Raw genomic sequence first — 23,367 nt, 5'->3', positions numbered from 1 at the left:
GACCCTTTACCTTCAGAACTCCTTTTATAATGTCAATATTTTAAAACTATCAAACTAAACAGGACATATTTTAAGCAAGTTTACAGATTAGGATCTTAGCAATATGTTTCAGCTAAATGTCAGAACTAGATAATGTCAACATTAATCAAAATAGCCACCTAAGAATTGAAATGGTATAGGAACTCTTTGAGTCCCTAACATTCAGGAGGTAATGTTGCATTAGTAGATGTCAAAGTTAACAATGTTAGCCAGCTAAACGAGGAACTTCCTGAGCATACGTTGGAGGTTAGTGGATTAGCATTGATTTTAATCATGCTTTGGACAGTAGACATACAATCTATAAACACCCAGTTTGCATCAAGGAATAAAACAGATATTATTTCCTTCTATTCCTGTTGAAGCCCTGCCCGTATTTCTCATCATTCTTGAAATCAGTTCATTGACTGTGTTCCACTATACCTTGTACATACCGTTGTGGTTAGGTGTTACTGCCAAACAAATAACATTATCTGTTTATCTGTCTCACTTCACACTAGCCTGTAGGATTCCTGATGCAAGGATTGTGGTTTACGAATATCTGCCAGGCCTGCAATGGAATAAAGAGGGAATTCAGAATAAAAAAGACTTGGATTAAAATCCTGACCCTAGAATTTAACTGTGTCATGATGGGCAAGTTTTTTAACTTCTCTGAGCCTCATAGTACTGATTTTTAAAACAGGGATTTAAATAACTACCTAGAAGACTTGATTAAGAATAAATGAAATAGGCCAGGTAGAGCGACTCACACCTGTAATCCCAGCACTTTGGGAGGCTGAGGCAAGTGGATTGCTTGAGCTCAGTAGTTCGAAACCAGCCTGGGAAATATAGCAAAAACCCATCTCTACAAAAAAATACAAAAAAAAAAAAAAAATTACCCAGGCACTGTGGCCTGTGCCTGTAGTCCCAGCTACTTGGGGAGCTGAGGTGGGAGGAAGGCTTGATCCCAGGAGTCCGAGGCTGTCGTGAGCCAAGATCGTGCCACTGCACTCCAGCCTGGGTGAAAAAGCCAAGACCCTGTCTCAACCAAAAAGAAAAAAGAAAAGATTAAATGATATGATTTACTATATCATAAAGGTTATAAATGAATGGTTATAAGTGAAACGTGAAAGGTTCCCTTGTCCCCCTCCCAGGGCATGCGATGGGGTGTGTCTCACTTCTTCAGTGCCCCGCTGCTTAACCTCTAGAGGAGCATACACATGGGCAGGCTGTGGGTCTCCGATTCCACAGCAGTGTCTAGGGGTGGATGTTTACAGCTTGTCCCAGTGGACATGGTGTTACAGGGTTCTCTCTTAGTTTGCCGTCTATAGGCAGCTTGTGTTCACCAGCTCAATTAGACCCTCCACCTTGCCGCAAGGACAGAGCGCTTTCTGTATGCCGAGTTCCTGCCTTGGTGTACCGGAAGAATCGGATCACACGTGGGCTTGGAGAATGCCTGCAAAGTTTTACTGAGTGGAAGTAACTCTCTGCCAATGGGGGAGCCAGAAGGGAGATGGTTTTCCCTGGATTTGGGCTGCTCGGTGGTCCCAGCCAAACTCTGCCTTATCCCACCTGTTGATGGTGTGCCAGCATGCTGACGTCTGTCGGTGGGCTCTTCCTCCAGCGTGCTCTCGACCAGCCACTCGTGTCTTCTTCCGCCAAAGTGTTCCTCTCAATATCTGGCTGCCTGTGTGCCCGCTAGGGTCTCTGGTTTTTATAGGCCCAGGATGAGGGCATGACGGGACAGGGTGGTCTTGGAAAATGCAACATTTGGGAGCGAAAGCAGGAGTGCCTGTCCTCACCTAGGTCCGTGGGGGTGGAGCCCTAGCCAGGGACCATGCCCTCCTCTACTCAGCACTTCCCTTCCCTGCGTCTGTATCATTTAAAGTGACCACACTGTTCCCTTCCCAGCACTCCCGTATCATAAACAAAAGGAAATTGTATTTTTAAGATTCTTTGGTTATGAGCAATAGAAATAAACTCTGGCTAACTTGAGTGGGGAAAGAAGACATAACAACAAAATGCAATGTGTAATCTGGGATTAGATCCTGGGTCAGAGAGGGAAATTTATATAAAGGACATTATTGGAACAATTAGCGTAATCTGAAAAATGGACTATATCTTATGAAATAGTGTTAGCTAATCTTATATTTTCTGAATTTGATCATTATATGGCATTTATATAAGAGAATATCCTTGCTTTTAGGAAACACACAATGTAGGATATGGAGGCTAAAGAGCATGATGTCTGAAACTCTCAAATGGCTTTGGAAAAAAATATTTACATGTATATAAATGATTACATGTATATAAAATGTACATATATGTGACATATATACATGTATATATAATGCATGCTTACACATAGAGACAGAGAGAAAGCAAAAAAGTAAATATGGCAAAATATTAACAATTAGTGTATAATATACATCCATATGTAATGCATGCACACACATATATAAAGAGACAAAGAGAAAGCAATAAAGTAAACATGGCAAAATAGTAATAATTAGCGAATCTGAGTAAAGAATGTGGGAATTCTTTGAACTATTCATATATATGACTTAGAAATAATTTCCAAATAAAAATTTTAAAAAGAAAAAAGGGTTAATATATTGGAAGAAACTTGGAGCTCTCGAAAAGGAAGAATGGAAAATTATAACAGTGTGAAAATTATGGCAGTGATGGAGATCTGATGTGGCCACCCCTCCTCTTGCCTTTGGTCTTCAAGCTGCCCTTAATTATTCCTGGGCTTGGGTCAAGCTAACTTTGGGAGACATTGAGTTTAGTTTAAGTGATAATAGCCTTTTTCCATAACTCAAGTGCCTTTGTAAAGCTAATGAGAGGTCACCACGCTGAGAGGATAGAGGACCCTGAATTCTGCTAAGGTGTAGTCATCAACAGTTGCCAGCCATTATTCCAGAGGTCACAAGATATGCAACTTCCCCATTCCCAATTACTCCTGCAGATAACATCACTATTGTAGAACCTAAGATTGGCCTTTGAGATATCTTTTCAGGTTTTGTGTATGTCTGAGAGCAGATGGCTCCATCTGGACATGCCAACCTGTGACCCCACCCAGTAGCAACTCAGTACACGTGAGGACCATTTCGCACACCCCTGTGATTGTACCTCTAACCAATCAGTAATAAGCACCCATTGCCTGGCCATCCCCCTGTCCCCTGCTTCTCCCAAACTATCTTTGAAAAACCCTAACCTCCGAATTTTCAGGGAGGCTGATTTGAATAATAATGAAACTCCAGTCTTCTGTTTAGTAGCTCTATGTGTGTAAAACTCTTTCTTTATTGCAATTCCCCTGCCTTGATAAATTGGCTCTATCTGGGCAGTGGGCCAGAAGAACCCACTGGGCAGTTACATCAGGCTTAGAAACTACTTGGGAACCAGGACAGGTACTATTCAACTATCAGAGTATAACACTGGTAAAAATAAGTCTCTTCCTTTTTTTTCATCATTTTGTACATGACTCACAATCCCAGGAAAAAGAAATTTCTTTTTACATATACATATACATATACATATGGATGTATATTATACACTAATTGTTAATATTTTGCCATATTTACTTTTTTGCTTTCTCTCTGTCTCTATGTGTAAGCATGCATTATATATACATGTATATATGTCACATATATGTACATTTTATATACATGTAATCATTTATATACATGTAAATACTTTTTTCCAAAGCCATTTGAAAAAGACACTATGCTTTTCCCACAGTCTTTGCAACCCGCAGACCAGGAGATTACCTCGGGTGCCTACGCCATCAGGGCCCTGGGTTTCAAGCACAAAACTGGGCAGCCAATTTGGGCAGACACCGAGCTAGCTGCAGGAGTTTTTTTTCGTACCTCAGTGGTGTTTGGAATGCCAGTGAGACAGAACCATTCACTACCCTGGAAAGGGGGCTGAAGCCAGAGAGCCAAGTTGTCTAGCTCAGCAGATCCCACCCCATGGAGCCCAGCAAGCTAAGATCCACTGGCTTGAAATTCTTGCTGCCAGCCCAGCAGTCTGAAGTCGACCTGGGACACTTGAGCTTGGTGCGGGCAGGGGCATCCACCATTACTGAGACTTGAGTAGGTGGTTTTCCCCTCACAGTGTAAACAAAGCCGCCAGGAAGTTCGAACTGGGCAGAGCCCACTGCAGCTCGGCAAAGCCGCGGTAGCCAGACTGCCTCTCTAGATTCCTCCTCTCTGGGCAGGGAATCTGTGAAAGAAAGGCAGCAGCCTCAATCAGGAGCTTATAGATAAAACTCCCATCTCCCTGGGACAGAGCACCCGGGGGAAGGGGCAGCTGTGGGCACAGCTTCAGCAGACTTAAATGTTCCTGCCTGCTGGCTCTGAAGAGAGCAGCGGATCTCCCAGCACAGCACTTGAGCTCTGCTAAGGAACAGACTGCCTCCTCAAGTGGGTCCCTGACCCCCGTGCCTCCTGACTGGGAGACACCTCCCAGCAGGAATCGACAGACACCTCACACAGGAGAGCTCCTGCTGGCATCTGGCAGGTGCCCCTCTGGGATGAAGCTTCCAAAGGAAGAAACAGGCAGCAATCTTTGCTGTTCTGCAGGCTCCGCTGGTGATACCCAGGCAAAAAGGGTCTGGAGTGGACCTCCAGCAGACCTGCAGCAGAGGGACCTGACTGTTAGAAGGAAAACTAACAAACAGAAGGGAATATCATCAACATCAACAAAAAGGACGTCCACACAGAAACCCCATCTGAAGGTCACCAACGTCAAAGACCAAAGGTAGATAAATCCACAAAGATGAGGAAAAACCAGCGCAAAAGGCTGAAAATTCCAAAAAGAAGAACACCTCTTCTCCTCCAAAGGATCACAACTCCTCACCACCAAGGGAACAAAACTGGACGGAGAATAAATTTGATTAATTTACAGAAGTAGGCTTCAAAAGGTGGGTAATAACAAACTTATCCGAGCTAAAAAAGCATGTTCTAACCCAATGCAAGCAAGCTAAGAACCTTGAAAAAAGGTTAGATGAATTGCTAACTAGAATAACCAGTTTAAAGAAGAACATAAATGGCCTGATGGAGCTGAAAAACACAGCACGAGAATGTCGTGAAGCATATACAAGTATCAATAGCCAAATAAATCAAGTGGAAGAAAGGATATTAGAGATTGAAGATCAACTTAATAAAGTGTGAAGACAAGATTAGAGAAAAAAGAATGAAAAGGAATGAACAAAGCCTCCAAGAAATATGGGACTATGTGAAAAGACCAAATGTACATTTGATTGGTGTGCCTGAAAGTGACGGGGAGAACAGAACCAAGTTGGAAAACACTCTTCAGGATATTCTCCAGGAGAAGTTCCCCAACCTAGCAAGACAGGCAAACATTCAAATTCAGGAAATACAGAGAACACCACAAAGATACTCCTCAAGAAGAGCAACCCCAAGACACATAATTGTCAGGTTCACCAAGGTTAAAATGAAGGAAAAAATGTTAACAGCAGCCAGAGAGAAAGGTCGGGTTATCCACAAAGGGAAGCCCATCAGACAACAGCGGATCTCTCTGCAGAAACCCTACAAGCCAGGAGAGAGTGGGAGCCAATATTCAACATTCTTAAAGAAAAGAATTTTCAACCCAGAATTTCATATCCAGTCAAACTAAGCTTCATAAGTGAAGGAGAAATAAAATCCTTTACAGACAAGCAAATGCTGAGAGATTTTGCCACCACCAGGCTTGCCTTACACAAGCTCCTGAAGGAAGCACTAAATATGGAAAGGAACAACCAGTACCAGCCACTGCAAAAACATACCAAATTGTAAAGACTGTCAATACTATGAAGAAACTGCGTCAACTAACGGGCAAAATAACCAGCTAGCATCATAATGACAGGATCAAATTCACACATAATAATATTAACCTTAAATGTAAACGGGCTAAATGCCCCAATTAAAAGACACAGACCAGCAAATTGGATAAAGAGTCAAGACCCAACGGTGTATTCAGGAGACCCGTCTCACGTGCAAAGACACACATAGGCTCAAAGTAAAGGGATGGAGTAATATTTACTAAGCAAATGGAAAGCAAAAAAAAGCAGGGGTTGCAATCCTAGTCTCTGATAAAACAGACTTTAAACCAACAAAGATCAAAAGGGACAAAGAAGGGCATTACGTAATGGTAAAGGGATCAATGCAACAAGAAGAGCTAACTATCCTAAATATATATGCACCCAATAGAGAAGCACCAGATTCATAAACAAGTTCTTAGAGACATACAAAAAGACTTAGACTCCCACACAGTAATAGTGGGAGACTTTAACACCCCACTGTCAATATTAGATCAATGAGACAGAAAATTAACAAGGATATTCAGGACTTGAACTCAGCTCTGAATCAAGTGGACCTAATAGACATCTACAGAACTCTCCACCCCAAATCAACAGAATATACATTCTTCTCAGCACCACATTGCACTTATTCTAAAATTGACCACATAATTGGAAGTAGAATACTCCTCAGCAAATGCAAAAGAACAGAAATCGTAACAAACGGTCTCTCAGACCACAGTGCAATCAAATTAGAACTCAGGATTAAGAAACTCACTCAAAACCTCTCAACTACATGGAAACTGAACAACCTGCTCCTGAATGACTACTGGGTAAATAAAAAATGGAGGCAGAAATAAAGATGTTCTTTGAAACCAATGAGAACAAACACACAAGGTACCAGAATCTCTGGGACACATTTAAAGCAGTGTGTAGAGGGAAATTGACAGCATGAAATGCCAACAAGACAAAGCAGGAAAGATCTAAAATCAACACCCTAACATCACAATGAAAAGAACTAGAGAAGCAAGAGCAAAGAAATTCAAAAGCTAGCAGAAGACAAGAAATAACTAAGATTAGAGGAGAACTGAAGGAGATAGAGACACGAAAAACCCTTCAAAAAATCAATGAATCCAGGAGCTGGTTTTTTGAAAAGATTAACAAAATAGATAGACTGCTAGCCAGACTAATATAAAAGAGAGAAGAATCAAATAGACACAATAAAAAAGATAAGGGGATATCACCACTGATCCCACAGAAATGCAAACTACCATCAGAGAATACTATAAACACCTCTATGCAAATAAACTAGAAAATCTAGAAGAAATGGATAAAATCCTGGACACATACACCCTCCCAAGACTAAACCAGGAAGAAGTCAAATCCTTGAATAGACCAATAACAAGTTCTGAAATTGAGGCAGTAATTAATAGCCTACCAACCAAAAAAAAAAAAACAAAACAAAACAAAAAAAAAAACAGAACTGGATGTATTCACAGCCGAATTCTACCAGAGGTACAAAGAGGAGCTGGTACCATTCCTTCTGAAATTATTCCAAACAATAGAAAAAGAGGGACTCCTCCATAACTCATTTTATGAAGCCTGCATCATCCTGATACCAAAACCTGGCAGAGACACAACAAAAAAAAAGAAAATTTCAGGTCAATATCCCTGATGAACATCGATGTGAAAATCTTCAATAAAATACTGGCAAACCGAATCCAGCTGCACATCAAAAAGCTTATCCACCATGATCAAGTGGGCTTCATCCCTGGGATGCAAGGCGGGTTTAACATATATGCAAATCAATAAATGTAATCCATCACATAAACAGAACCAATGACAAAAACCACATGAGTATCTCAATAGATGCAGAAAAGGCCTTCAATAAAATTCAACACCCCTTCATGCTAAAAACTGTCAATAAACTAGGTATCGATGGAATGTATCTCAAAATAATAAGAGCTATTTATGACAAACCCATAGCCAATATCATACTGAATGGGGAAAAGCTGGAAGCATTCCCTTTGAAAACCGGCACAAGACAAGGATGCCCTCTCACCACTCCTATTCAACATAGTATTGTTGAATACTATTGTTGAAGTTCTGTCCAGGGCAATCAGGCAAGAGAAAGAAATAAAGTGTATTCAAATAGGAAGAGAGGAAGTCAAATTGTCTCTGTTTGCAGATGACATGATTGTATATTTAGAAAACCCCATCGTCTCAGCCCAAAGTCTCCTTAAGCTGATAAGCAACTTCAGCAAAGTCTCAGGATACAAAATCAATGTGCAAAAATCACAAGCATTCCTATACACCAATAATAGAGAGCCAAATCATGAGTGAACTCCCGTTCACAAATGCCACAAAGAGAATAAAATACCTAGGAATACACCTTTTAGGGGATGTGAAGGACCTCTTCAAGGAGAACTACAAACCACTGCTCAAGGAAGTAAGAGATGACACAAACAAATGGAAAAAAAATTCCATGGTCATGGATAGGAAGAATCAATATCATGAAAATGGCCATACTGCGCAAAGTACCTTGTAGATTCAGTGCTATCCCCATCAAGCTACCATTGACATTCTTCACAGAATTTTAAAAAAACTACTATAAATTTCGTATGGAACCAAAAAAGAGCCCATATAGCTGAGACAATCCTAAGCAAAAACAACAAAGCTGGAGGCATCATGCTACCTGACTTCAAACCACACTACAAGGCTACAGTAACCAAAACAGCATGGTACTGGTACCAAACCATATATACAGACCAATGGAACAGAACAGAGGCCTCAGAAATAACACCACACATCTACAACTACCTGATCTTTGACAAACCTGACAAAAACAAGAAATGGGGAAAGGATTCCCTATTTAATAAATGGTGTTGGGAAAACTGGCTAGTCATATGCAGAAAACTAAAACTGGACCCCTTCCTTACATCTTATACAAAAATTAACTCAAGATGGATTAAAGACTTAAACATAAGACCTAAAATCATAAAAACCCTAGAAGAAAACCTAGGCAATACCATTCAGGACATAGGCATGGGCAAAGTCTTCATGACTAAAACACCAAAAGCAATGGGAACAAAAGCCAAAATGGACAAATGGGATCTAATTAAACTAAAGAGCTTCTGCACAGCAAAAGAAACTATCATCAGGGTGAACAGGCAACCTACAGAATGGGAGAAAACTTGCAATCTATCCATCTGACAAAGGGCTAATATCCAGAATCTATAAGGAACTTAAACAAATTTACAAGAAAAAACCCCAAAAAAGTGGGTGAAGGATATGAACAGACACTTCTCAAAAGAAGACATTTACGTAGCCAACAAAAATATGAAAAAATGCTCACCATCACTGGTCATTAGAGAAATGCATATCAAAACCACAATGAGATACCATCTCATGCCAGTTAGAATGGCAATCATTAAAAAGTCAGGAAACAATATGCTGAAGAGGATGTGGAGAAATAGAAACGCTTTTACACTGTTGGTGGGAGCGTAAATTAGTTCAACCATTGTGGAAGACACGGTGGTGATTCCTCAAGGATCTAGAACCAGAAATACTATTTGACCCAGCAATCCCATTACTGGGTATATATCCAAAGGATAATAAATGATTCTGCTATAAAGACACATGCACATGTATGTTTATTGTGGCACTGTTCACAATAGCAAAGACTTGGAACCAACCCAAATGCCCATCAGTGATAGACTGGATAAGGAAAATGTGACACATATACACCAGGAATACTATGCAGCCATAAAAAAGGATGAGTTCATGTTCTTTGCAGGGACATGGATGAAGCTGAAAACCATCATTCTCAGCAAACTAACACAGGAACAGAAAACCAAACACCGCATGTTCTCACTCATAAGTGAGAGTTGAACAAGGAGAACACATGGACACAGGGAGGGGAACATCACACACCGGGGCCTGTTTGGGGTGGGGGGTGCTAGGGGAGGGATAGCATTAGGAGAAATACCTAATGTAGATGACAGGTTATGGGTGCAGCAAACCACCATGGCATATGTATTCCTATGTAACAAACCTGCATATTCTGCACATGTATCCCAGAATTTAAAGTATAATTTAAAAAAAAAAAAAAACTTGCAAAGTCAATTCACCAGTCTCTCACCTTGAGGAACTCTTTGGAATCAATAGGAACAGAGTAGCACCAGCCCAGTGTGGCAGTGCAGAGAGGAGCCGGAGAAGATGCCTGCCCTCCCCAGGAAGCCATAGAGGGAGATTTGCTCCAGCTCACAAGTTGAAATTCTTCGTTTTGAGGAATTTAATTATGGCTAACAGCGAGGATTAATTGCTTTATACTGTGTTAGTATAAATAAATACTTTCTTCATTTGCCTTTAAAAAAAAAAAGGAGAGGGAAGATACCGAAGTAAAGACACAGACACACAGTGAGAATGCCAGGTGATGATGGAAGCAGAGATTGGAGGAATGCAGCTGCGGCCCAGGAACGCTGAGGATTGCCAACAACCACCAGAAGCTAGGAAGAGCCAAGCAAGGTTTCCTGCTGACGTGTCTCACAGGGAGCATGGCCCTAACTTGATTTTGTACTTCTAGCCGACAGACCTGTAAAACAATACATTTCTGTTGTTTTCAGCTCTTTCTCTTTGCCTAATTCGTTATGGCAGCCCTAGCAAATTAATATGGTACTAGAGGCCTAATGTATGTATTTTGTGTGTGTGTGTGTGTGTGTGTGTGTGTGTGTGTGTGTTGGGGGTGGGGGGAGTAAGTGTCCTTTAACTGCAGAAGAAACAGAACAAATCAGGTAGACAGGAAGAAAACAAGGCAACCTTTCTTAATCATCTAAACCAAGAAGTGTCATGTTTTCCTGTGGACCTGACCTTCCCAATCACTGCTCCAGCACAGACTCCTGGCTGTGGCTGGAACACCCCAGCTGTGTTTCCTCCTTAGGGCCTTTGCACCCACTGCTTCCTCTACCTGGAACATGCCCAGGGCCAACTCCTGACTTCCTGCTTTTTCCTCAATGAAGCCCATTCTGCAATCTGCACTCCCACCCCACTGAGCACTCCCAACCCCCCTTGCTCTACTTTACTTTTTCTTTTCTCCATGTTCTCAGTGGATTCTAATATCCTAATAATGTGTTTATTATGTGTAGGGAGCATTATTTATCGTCTCCATCCATGCTAGAACATTAAGCTCCATGCAGCGATGTGAACAAACATCAAAAACAGTACCTAGTTCACTGTAGGTGCTTAAGAAAAAATTTTCTAAAAATCCATCATTCATTTTAAAATGACTACTTTAACGATTACAGAAGCTGTATGTGTTCATTGTAAAAAAAAATTAGAAAAAATTAAAAGCTTCAAACTCCCACCATCTAATAAAACCTCTCAAATTAAAAAAAAAAATGTTTTAGAAAAGGAGCAAAAGGAAGCAAAGTACACTTGGAAGAGGGACAAGCGGGCAACTTGAGAGATCCAAGTACCCCATTTGGTCCTTGACTTGGGGTTTTATACGTTGGCATGGTTTGGGGGCTTTACTTTCTCCTCCCTTAATTTTTCCCTTGGGGTGGGCTGTTGTTCAACCGCTGCATGCGAGGTGTCAGTCAGCACTCAAGGGGGTGACCACATGCATAGTGCATTTACTGAGGTTGTGCACATGCTCTGTAGGGGCGATTTTATTTTACCAGTCTAACACCCCCAAAGGAAGGTCATACATCTGATATTTTGCCGGTTAGAGCACATACTCAAGCCCACTTGCCCAACTCCTGAGATCTTATGTGGAAGCTGCTGATCACCAGCTCAAGATGTTTTCTATCTTTTGGGAGACGGTCGTCCGCTGATGCCAGCTGTGACCAATTATCATTTTAGAGAGACAGTTTAACAACCGCCTGACGATCACGTGATGGTCGCCTGACATTCCTGGGGGTTGGTTAGGGGGCCTCTCCTGACCTGCTCACGTCTGCCTCGCTAACTACTCTAACAACCAGAGGTCACAGAAGTCTTCTTTGTTGATTGCTGTGGCATGAAAGCAGAGGAAAAAAAAATGTTTTTTCCTCCATGTCAACCAACTCGCATAAAATAGCCTGTTAAATAGTCCTTCCATCATGGCCACTAACTTCCAAGAGAAATTCCTAATGCTGCCTAATAATCATAACACATTTCTCCAGTTTGTTCACTCTTCTACCCTCCTAGATAATACTTTCATGGCTTTTCTCTCTTTCAATCATTTACATCTTTCTCCATCCTCACTCTTAGTGATAAACCCTCCCTTTAATGATTCTTCCTAGAATGCAGCTGCCTAATGAGTTCTTATTGCCCACTGCCCAGATAGAGTCAATTTACCAAGGCAAGGGAATTGCAGTGGAGAAAGAATTTAATTCATGAAGAGCTGGCTGAATGGGGGACTGGAGTTTTATTATTACCCAAATCAGTCTTCCCAAGAATTCAGAGGCTAGGGTTTTTCAAAGGTAGAAGGGGTGAGGGTGGCTGCTGATTGGCTCAGGGGTACAATCATAGGCGTGTCAGGAATGACCCTCCAGCATGCTAAGTGGCTTCTGGGTGGGACAGGAGCAGTGGGTAGGTCCAGATGGAGCCACCATTGGTCTGTGGATCCTGATGGGGTCACACGTGTCAGACATGCAGGAAACCTGAGAGGATATTTCAAAAGGCCAATCTTAGGTTCTACAATAGTGACGTTATCTGCAGGAGCAACTGGGGAGGTTGCAAATCTCATGACCTCTGGAATAATGGCTGGCAGTCATTTATGTCTACACCTTAGTAAAATTCAGGGTCCTCTATCCTCCTAGCCTGGTGACCTCTCAGCTTTATAAAGGTGGTTGAGTTTTGGGGGAAGGGTTATTTTCACTTAAACTTTAAACTAGATGTCTCCCAAAGCCAGCCCAGGAATAATCAAAGGCAGCCCAAAGGCTAAAATAAAGGCAAGACGGGGGTTGACTAGATCAGATCTCCCCCATTGACATAATTTTCTCTCTGATACAATTTTGTAAAGACAGTTTCAAGAAATTACACAAACCACTTGTGCTATATTCTATTTACCAGAACACAGTTGACTGTTACATGACCACACCTACCTGCAACGGAAGCTGAGAAATGTCTTTGTGGGGGGTGGGGGAGGGACATGTACCCAGCTACAATTCTGGGCTTCTGTTATTAAAAGGAGGAAAATGGATATTGGATAATACTAGTACATTTTACTCTAATGAATTTAAAATATTGTTTTCTGAGTCCAGGGGCATCACTTCAAAACTGTGACCCATAAGCCTCAGATGGGCCCCAATTCTGCCTGGCAATCTTTCTCTAGTCCATTAACTCTCCCACTCTCCTAAATGATCCAAATAATTCTTTCATAATCTTTTTCCTCTTTTCAAAACTCTAACATCTACTTTGCCATTCTCTCTCTCTCTCGTGTGTGTGTCTGTCCATCCGTCTTTCTCTACAGAAAACCTTCCTTCCTATTTCATTGTGAAATAGAAGCAAATTAAAGAGGATGTCTCTACAAGTTCCCACTATCATATATACCCCCACATACCCATCAATCTTCATGTGCGCCCATGTCCTCTACCTTCTCTGTGCTAATATAAAGTGCTCATGATGTTATCAGCTAAGGCTAGTCCTCCACTTGAACACTAGATCACACCCCCTTTCACCAATTCAAACTCATCAACACTAGGAATTTTCTTCTGTCTTTCCTGTGTCAAGTTTTCCTCTCTTCTAGATCTTTCCCTTCCGGTTTCTGGTCTAGCAAGTAAGGAGCTTGGAAGTCATCACTCCTGTCTTCACAACAATAAAAAAGCTAAATAAACTGAAAATCAGTTGAAGTAACAGGGCACACTTCTGTCCCCCAAACTGGAGAGACAAATGGGTAAATACAGAGAATCACAACTTACTGGAATAGAAGCCCAGGGGCAGAAAACTCTGCAAGAACGAGTACTGGGGAACGAAAAACCCAAACTATAATAGATGAATTGCTGGAGGCTCTGTGTGGACAAGTTTGAAAGTTAAAAACTCCAGGGCATGTGGCCAGTCATACTGGATTTTACCTCCACTTTCGTGAGTTTTACCTCCAAGAACCCTACCAGGTTCTCAGGGTGAAGATCAGCAAAAAAAAAAAAAACAAAAAAAAAATCCTCATGCTTCTGGCAAGAGGAGGGGAAAAATAGCCATTCGAAATATGCCAAAGTGTCCAGCTCTTCTTAACAAAGCCTGCTCTCAATGGAAACTATGTTATCAGAGGCTAGCTGACTGGATTTTACCAGAGACTAATCACAGGAGAAGGAAAATACCCAACTCCAGCCCCTTTTTGCCAACTAAAGCGGGAAAGAACTGAGAAGCGCTTGTGAAAGGTGCAGCCCAGGAGCACAGGCTCGCTAAAGTCTAAGACCTAATCACAGGTCTATAGAATTCTTCCTCTCTCTCCACACCTCACCACTATATCAACAGGACTTATCTGTATGATAATAAGGGAGTACAACAGAAATAACTGCATGTTATTTCTGAGACCTCCCAAGAAGTCTCTAGGGAAATCCAAAGATAACAGGTGAGACAAAAACAAGGACACCGGAGGAAATTTTTGCCTCTGACTCCCACAGCTACAACAAACAGTAAACACAGCCTAACTTCTAACTAGATAAATAAGATAAATATACAACTTCCCACTGAAGACTTATTTACAGGCCGGGTGTGGTGGCTCACACCTGTAATCCTAGCACTTTGGGAGGCCAAGGAGGGTGGATCACTTGAGGTCAGGAGTTTGAGACCAGCCTGGCCAACATGGTGAAATCCCATCTCTACTAAAAATACAAAAATTAGCCCAGGTGTGATGGCTCGTGCCTGTAGTTCCAGCTACTTGGGAGACTGAGGCTGGAGAATCACCTGAACCCAGGAGGCGGAGGTTGCAGTGTGCCGAGATCACGCCTCTGCGCTTCGGCCTGGGTAACAGACCGAGACTCCATCTCAAAATAAATAAATAAATAAATGAAAATAAAGATGTATTTACCTCAGTTCCTTTTATCCACTACATTGTGTCCAACTTTCAACAAAAAAATTAAAGATAAAGATTAAAAAAAATAAAATTACAAGATAAACTAAAAGACAAAAAAAAAAACACAGTTTGAAGAGACAGAGCAAGCATTAGAATCAGACTCAGATATGGCAGAGATGTTAGAATTATTAGACCAGGAATTTAAAACAATGGTGATTAATATGCTAAGGGCTCTAATGGAAAAATCAGATCTTTCTTATCACCAGACAAACATGCTATTATTTCTCACATATTAAAGAAGTCCGCTTTCATGACCACATTCTTCCACCAGTTACCACCTCAGTTTTTCTGCTCCCCTTACAACAAAACTTCTTGAAAACCCTGTCTCCAATTTCTCTTCTCCCATTCTTTTTTACATACCATTTTTATTATAGAAAAATCTCCAACATGAATAGTACAATGAATTCCTGTGTATGTTACCCAACTTCAATATTTTTCAACATTTTACCAGTCCTATTTCATCTATTCCATCTATACTGTTTTATTTTTTTTCTGAAATATCTAAAACCAAATTCTAGATATCACATTTCACCCATAAATTCTTTAGGATTGTATCTTTAACAGCGAAGAATTTTGTGCATAATTCCTCAATATCAACTAATATTAGGAATTAAAGGACGTCATTACAGATCCTACAGACACTGAAAGAATAATATGAACAATTTTATGCCAAGAAATTTAGCTGCTTAGATAAATTTCTCAAAACATACAACTTACAAAAACTGACGGAAAAAGAAATACAAAATCTGCACAACATCATATTTATTAAACATGTTAAATCTGTAATTCAAAACCGTCTCATAGGCCGAGTGCAGTGGCCCATGCCTATAATCTCAGAACTCTGGAAGACTGAGGAGAGGGGATTGCTTGAGCCCAGAAGTTCAAGACCAGCATGGGGAACATAGCAAGACCTTGTCTCTAAAATAATTAATTAATTTAATTTAATTTAACTTTCTCATGAAGGAAGCTCTAGGCCCACATGACTACACAATGAATTATATTCAAACACTTAAAAAGGAAATAATATCAATCTTAGAGAAACTCAAAAAATAATACTCTGTGCTGTTGAACTATTTTTATGTCTTTAAAAAATATATCTTTTCTCTGTTGACTTAAGTCATAATCCAAGTAAGCATTCATGCATTACATTTGATTGCTATGTGTTTTATTTTTCCTTTAATCCATAATGTCTCCTCTCTTTTTTTTGAGATGGAGTCTCGCTCTGTCGCCCAGGCTGGAGTGCAGTGGCATGATCTTGGCTCACTGTAACCTCCGTCTCCTGGGTTCAAGCGATTCTCCCACCTCAGCCTTGCAAGTAGCTGGAATCACAGGCACGTGCCACCATGCCCAGCTAATTTTTGTATTTTTAGTAGAGATGGGGTATCACCATCTTGGCCAGGCTGGTCTAGAACTCCTGACCTCAAGTGATTCACCGGCCTTGGCCTCACAAAGTGCTGGGATTACAGGCGTGAGCCACCACGCCCAGCCTCTCTTAGCCATTTTCAAGTACACAGTACATTATTATTAGCTGTAGTCACCATTTTTACAATAGATCACCCGAACTTACTTGTGTCTAACTAAAACTTTGTACCTTTTTATCAGCATCTCCCCATTCCTCATAACCAGACCCTGGTAATCACCATTCTACTCTCTGCATCTCAGATTGACTGTTTTTAGAGTCATAAGACCATGCAATATTTGTCTTTCTACGCCTTGCTTATTTCACGTAGCATAATGTTTTCCAGGTTCATTCATGTTGTCACAAATGACAGGATTTCCTTCTTTTAAAGAGCTGAATAGTATTCCATTGTGTGCATGTACATTTTCTTTATCCATTAATCTGTTAATGAACATTTAGATTGATTCCGTGTCTTGGCTATTGTAAATAACGCTTCATTGAACATAGGAGTGCAGATATGTCTTTCATATACTGTTTTCATTTTCTTTGGATATATACTCAGAAGTAGAATTGTTGAAGCATATGATAATAGTTCTATTTTTAATTTTTTGAAGAGGAATCTTCATACTGGTTTTCCATAATGACTGTATTAATTTACATTCCCACCAGCAATGTATAAGAGTTCCTTTTCTCTGTATCCTCTCCAAACTTGTCTTTCATCTTTCTGATAGTAGTTCTTCTAACAGGTGTGAGGTGATATTTAATTAATTTGCATGTCCCTGATGATTAGGAATGTTGAACATTTTTTCATATATATATTGACTATTTTGTGTCTTCTTTAGAGACGTCTCTATTGAGGTACTTTGCCCATTTTAAAATCTGGTTGTTTTTTCGCAATTGAATTGTTTGAGTTCCTTATATATTATGGCTATTAGCCCCATATCAGATGTATGGTTTGCAAATACTTTCTCCCACTCTTTTGGTTGTCTCTTCACTCTGTTACTTGTTTCCTGTGCTGTGTAGCTTTTTAGTTTCATGCAATTCGATTTGTGTACCCATCCTTTTGTTGCCTGTGCTTTTGGGGCTATATTTTTAAAATCTTTGCCAACACCAATGTCAAAAAGCTATTTCCCTATGTTTTCTTCTAGTAGTTTACAGTTTCAGGTCTCAAATTTAAGTTTTTAATCTATTTGGAGTTGATTTTTGTATATGGGGTGAGATAAGGGTCCAATTTGATTCTTCTGCATGTGAATATCCAGTTTTCCCAGCACCATTTATTGAAGAGATTTTCCCTTCCCCACGGGATGTTTTTGGTATCTTCATCAAAGATCAATTGACCATAAATAGGTGGATTTATTTCCGGGTTTTCTATTCTGTTCCATTGGACATTTTTATATTTTTAAAGAGTTGTTAAAACACAAGGAAAAACAAGAATATTTAATAAGATTGCATGTAGCCCACAAAGCCTGAAATATTTACTATCTGGCCTTTTACAGAAAGTTTGTCCACCCCAGATCTAAAGACTTGATCCAATTTAAGTTTTATTTTTTGTTTGTTTGTTTTTATTTGTAAGAATACTTCACATCATATTCTAGGTATACTAAGTATGTCCTGCTGCATCACACTGGGAGGCATATACTGTAATGTTTCATTGTCACACTTTTAGTGAGCTTTATAAGCCTGGTCCATTGCTTATAAAGCTCCCTATTGTTATTTGTCCTAATGGTTTCGGCATCCACTGATGATTGTTGCTTAGATGTTTCACTAAATATTGTAAAATGCTTATTTTCTACTTTCATCATTCCCTTTGCATTTATTAGTTGGAATTTTTCAGTGTAGAAAAATAAGGTTCAACAACTGTATTAACTATTTGGTTACCCTGAAACTCAGTTTAGGAAAGGTCAGACAAATGCTTGTTTTTTTGCTATTATTTACCAATTTTTAGAATAATAAATTGGTGTCCTAACAATCTCTAGAAGTGGCCATTAAGTGCTTTTTGTAAGTATTAATACTTATAATTTCTTAGAGGTTTATGTATTTGATGTTTCCAGTAATTACAGATAATAGTTTTAATGCCCAAAGTGTGCCAACTTTAGGGGCCCCTTAAAGTTGTTTTGTTTGTGTGTGTGTGTTCTTTTAAAAAGGCCTCATTAGTATTTGATAGATTCCTTGCTTTTTGTACATTTCTTCCCTCAAATCTGGAATTGATAATTTCTCCAAGGAGCCCTAGTTCCATTGGTAGCTCAGCAAAGGCTGTTGCCACCTCCACTCCACTGACATAGCATGTCACTGTCACCAAAGACTCCATCTTTCTAAATCCGGGGGTCACTTAGCAGTTCTTATCTGACTTGACTTATCTGTGGCTTTTAACAAGGTTAATCACTCCCTCCTCCTCCTGAAAACGGTTTCTTCGCTTGGTTTCCAAGAACACTACACTCTCCTGACTTTTCTCCTACTTTATGCACCTCTCCTTGGTCTCTGTTGCTGGTTTTTCCTCATCTTTTTAACCTCTTAATGTTGAGTGCCTCAGTGCTGAGTCCTTGAATCTTTTTTCACTTGTTATCTACATTGACTTTCTTTGAGGTGTCATCAGTTTTATGACTTTGAATACCATCAGCATGCCAATTATTCCTAAACTTATCTCCAACCTAAACAAATCCCCTGAATTCCAGACTTATACATTAAAATGCCTACTAAACTTCCCCACTTGGATAACCAAAAGCATCTCAGACTTAACAGGTTTAAAAACAAGCTCTTAATCTTGCCAACGTCTACTTCAGCAAAAGCTTGCTTCTTCTAGTCTTCATCTTACAAATGATCATCTCATTGTTCCTTCACATCTTCGTGCCTTTTTTTTTGAGACGGAGTCTCGCTCTGTCGCCCAGGCTGGAGTGCAGTGGCGCCTTCTCAGCTCGCTGCAAGCTCTACCTCCTGGGTTTACACCATTCTCCTGCCTCAGCCTCCTGAGTAGCTGAGACTACAGGCGCCCGCCACCACGCCCTGCTAATTTTTTGTATTTTTAGTAGAGATGGGGTTTCACCGTGTTAGCCAGGATGGTCTCAATCTCCTGACCTTGTGATCCGCCCACCTCAGCCTCCCAAGGTGCTGGGATTACAGGCGTGAGCCACCGCGCCCGTCATCCCATTTTTTTACACCTCTCCCACACCCCACATCCAAATACCTCAGGAGATCCTTTTGGTTCTACTTCAAATTATATACAGAATCAGAACGCTTCTTAAGACCTCCAGTGCTACAATCTGTGCAAACCACTGTCATTTCTCTTCCGGATTATTGCAGTAACCAAACTGCTCTCTCTGCTTCTGCCCTTGCCCCTCCCCTTTGATCTTTCTTAATACAGCAGCCTTTGTGTTTTTATTAAAATATAAGCCAAATTGTGTTCCTGCCTCTGCTAAAACCTTCACGTGGCTCCCCAGCTTGCTCAAAGTAAAAGCCAAAGACCATCATATGATTTGTAAGTCTCTGTCATTTGGCTCCGGATTACCTCTCTGACATTTACTTTCAACCCCTCTTTCTGCCTGTGTTACTCTAATCACAGGCCTCTTTATTGTTGCTCTTCAAGCCTACCAGTCATGCTCCCTGATAGGGGCTTTTGATTTGCTTATTCCTCACCTAAAATGCTCTTCTTTCAAATGTCCTCATAGCAACTTCTTACCTCCTTCAGATGTTATTTTCTCAGCCAGATCTTTCCCCAATCTATTTAAAATTGTAATCCTCCCCAGCACTCCCTATCCCTTCTCCCTGCTCTAATTCTTCTCAGTATAACAGAAAACAATCTAACACACAATATGGTTTACTTATTTATGTGTTTGTCATCTGCCTCTATTGCTAGAAGTTATGTTCTATGAGGCCAGGGATTTTTTTCTTATTTGTTTACTGCTATATTATTAGCACCTACAAGAGTGCCTGACACATAATATTTTTTAAATAAGTGGATCAATAGAGTTGTTAGGATTAGATGAGACAATACATCCAAAGCTCTTAGCATAATGAATGGTAGCTATAGGTATTATCTTTATTATTATGAACTGTTTTATTTCCTCTTTATGAACCCATTTACTAATCTAAGTCAACAGTGACTTTCCAGAGAAGGGAAAGGGGATCAGCATAGGTAGGGACTATATGACTGATTTCTTCTGGGCTGTATTCATTAGTAGTCCAACATCTACATCTCCATGGCCTATGTCAACGTGAGATTAGTAATAGGCTCTTGATTTTTCCTTGTAAGGTTGTTTGGGAAAATCTTTTAAAAATCTTAATCTTTACAAAGTTGCTTTTCTCTAAATTCTCAATAAACATAAAATTCAGGCTACAGGAGGAGCTCTCTCCTTAACAGCCATTACCTCAGAGAGGTCTTGTGCCAATTCAGGTCTCAAAGGGAATTTACTTCTTAAAAATATCTCCCCTTGCAATTTATATATGTTACCACCAGGTGGCAGGAATGTTTGATGAGCACCCAGCAAAGTCAAATGATTCACTTCTGCAGATTTAAAATTATGAATGGCAGTACTATCTTATAGCAAAACATCAAAACACATTTCTTAGAACAGTTAAACTACAGCCAAGTAGTCATCATTTTATTTTATTTTTTAATTTTAATTTAGTGAAAGGTACTTTTTTTTTTTTTTTGAGATGGAGTCTTTCTCTGTCACCCAGGCTGGAGTGCAATGGCGCAATCTCAGCTCACTGCAACCTCCGCCTCCTGGGTTCAAGTGATTCTCCTGCCTCAGCCTCCCTAGTAGCTGTGACTACAGGCGCCCGCCACCACACCCAGCTAATTTTTTGAGTTTTTTTAGTGGAGAAGGGGTTTCATCGTGTTAGCCAGGATGGTTTTGATGTCCTGACCTCATGATCCACCTGCCTCGGCCTCCCAAAGTGCTGGGATTACAGGAGTGAGGTACTGTTTATTTTAATGAAGTCATATGATTTGCCAGATCTAAGCATATGAAATTATCAGTGAACAAAAAATAAAAAATAAAAAATCTATGTCTTTATGACATTCACATAGTGAGCAAAAGAAAAGATTCTGGAACCAGACTATGAGAGTTTGAATCCTAATATTTGCTGTTTATCATCTAAGGGACCCTGGGCAACCTACTTAAACTCTTGTCTCTCAGCTGCCTTATCTATAAAATGAGGATGATAAAAGTGCATACCCTTTGGTCTTAATGATGAAATAAACATAGCTTATGGAATGTCTAATAGATTATTTCATTTGCTAATTTTGACAACCCTGTGAGGCAAATATTATCTCCGTCTCACAGAAGTAACTCATCCCTTACCTATGACAGCAAAAGTCCTTGCCCATAGTGACCTGGCTAGTACATGGTGAAGCCAGAATTATTTTACCCTGCTCACTGCACAACCAACATAATTTTTTTTTAAGAGACAGAGTTTTGCTCTGTTGCCCAGACTGGAGTGCAGTGGCATGATCATAGCTCACTGTAACTTTGAACTCTCAGGCTGAAGCAATCCTCTTGCCTTAGCCAGAGTAGCTAGGACTATAGGTGTGCACCACCATGCGTAGCTATTTCATTTAAAATTTTTTTTTTTTTTTTTTTTTTTGCAGAAATGGGCTCTCACTATGTCACCCAGGCTGGTCTTGAACTCCAGGCCTCAAGCCATCCTCCTGCCTCGGCTTCCCAAAGTGCTAGGAATACAGGCATGAGCCACTGCACCTGGCCTGAACATAGTATTTTTAAAGTAAACTTTTAATTGAAGTTTAACATACAGTTTATATACATAAAAGCATAGAAATAATGAAGTTTACAAAGTGAATACACCCATATATCTACCTCCCTTCCAGATCAAGAAGTAGAAATTACCATCACCCAGAAGCCTCCCTTTTCATTCCTCCCACTCTTTCCCTAAAGTTAAGTATTTTTCTGGCTTTTATCACTATAGATTAGTTTTTCCATTAGAATACTTTACATAAATGAATCATACAATATGTATTCTTTTGTGTCTGGCTTTTTTTCCTCTCAACTTTATGTTCATGAGCGTCATCCTTTTTTTTCCTTTTTGAGAGAGAGAGAGAGTGTGTGTGTGTGTGTGTTTGAGACAAGCTCTGCTCTTTCACACAGGCTGGAGTGTAGTGGCACACACACAGCTCACTGCAGCCTTGACCTCCTGGGCTTAGTCCATCCTCCTGCCTCAGCCTCCCATATAGCTGGGACTACAGGCACATGCCACCATGTCCAGCTATTTTATTTTATTTTATCATTATTATTTTTTTTTTTGTCGAGACAGGGTTTCACCATTTTGCCCAGGCTGATCTCAAACTTCTAGGCTTAAGTGACCTGCCCACATGGGCTTCCCAAAGTGCTGAGATTACAGGTTTGAGCCACCATGCCTGCTGAGTGTCATCCTTATTGGTGTGTGTAGCAGTATTCTACTCATTTTGATTCTAGTTACATAAATATACCATAATTTATTACCCATTCTTCTGTTTATAGTAATTATTACAGTGTACATTCTTGATATAATAAAAATCTACTCTAAACTAGTTTTCTATTTCCCATCCAATGCAAGGATCTTACAATGCTTTAATTTCATTTACCTCTTTCCTGATTTTTGTGCTATTGGGGTTGTATATTTAATTTTATATGTATTTTTAGCCTCACAAGACATTGTTATCATTGTTCTATACAGTCAATATTTGTTTAGATTTACCCACTTTTACCCTCCACTGTTCTTTATTCCTTCATGAGTTTTCACACTTTTCTCTGGGATTATTTGCCTTCTGCCTGAAGACCTCTGTAGTGTGGGTCTACTAATAATAAACTGTCTTAGCGTTTGTTTATCTGAAACCTCTTTTATTTAACCTTCACTACTGAGGGATATTTCTCAGGTATAGAAGTCTAGGTTGGCAGATATTTTCTTTCAGAATTTTAAAGATACCACTATTGTCTTTTGGTTCCATAATTGCTTTTGAAAAGTCAGCTGTCTGTCTTATTTATTACTCCTTTGAATTTAGTGAAACTATTTTTAAGATTTTCTCTTTTCTTTTTGTTTCCAGGAGTTTTACTATGTGCCTAGGAATAGAGTGTTTTGTTTTTTGTTTTTTATCCTGCTTGTGTTTGT

The 23,367-nt window shown here is 40.0% G+C and overlaps 3 annotated features.

The window, feature by feature from the left end:
* Positions 1,153 to 1,652: an enhancer, noted in NCBI's record as "H3K4me1 hESC enhancer chr11:78316755-78317254 (GRCh37/hg19 assembly coordinates)". NCBI's record gives its function as "activates a minimal SCP1, AML or CMV promoter by ChIP-STARR-seq in naive H9 embryonic stem cells {active_cell/tissue: H9 hESC(naive)}" and the evidence as "EXISTENCE:reporter gene assay evidence [ECO:0000049][PMID:30033119]".
* Positions 1,388 to 1,592: a silencer, noted in NCBI's record as "fragment chr11:78316815-78317019 (GRCh37/hg19 assembly coordinates)". NCBI's record gives its function as "represses an EF-1alpha promoter that drives an FKBP-Casp9 reporter gene in an ReSE screen in HepG2 liver carcinoma cells {active_cell/tissue: HepG2}" and the evidence as "EXISTENCE:reporter gene assay evidence [ECO:0000049][PMID:32094911]".
* Positions 1,653 to 2,154: an enhancer, noted in NCBI's record as "H3K4me1 hESC enhancer chr11:78316253-78316754 (GRCh37/hg19 assembly coordinates)". NCBI's record gives its function as "activates a minimal SCP1, AML or CMV promoter by ChIP-STARR-seq in naive H9 embryonic stem cells {active_cell/tissue: H9 hESC(naive)}" and the evidence as "EXISTENCE:reporter gene assay evidence [ECO:0000049][PMID:30033119]".

The sequence above is a fragment of the Homo sapiens genome, chromosome 11 (genome assembly GCF_000001405.40).
Source record: "Homo sapiens chromosome 11, GRCh38.p14 Primary Assembly".
Taxonomy (NCBI): domain Eukaryota; kingdom Metazoa; phylum Chordata; class Mammalia; order Primates; family Hominidae; genus Homo; species Homo sapiens.
The sequence above is the reverse complement of the archived record's forward strand: the minus strand, read 5'-3'. Positions and strand labels throughout refer to the sequence as shown.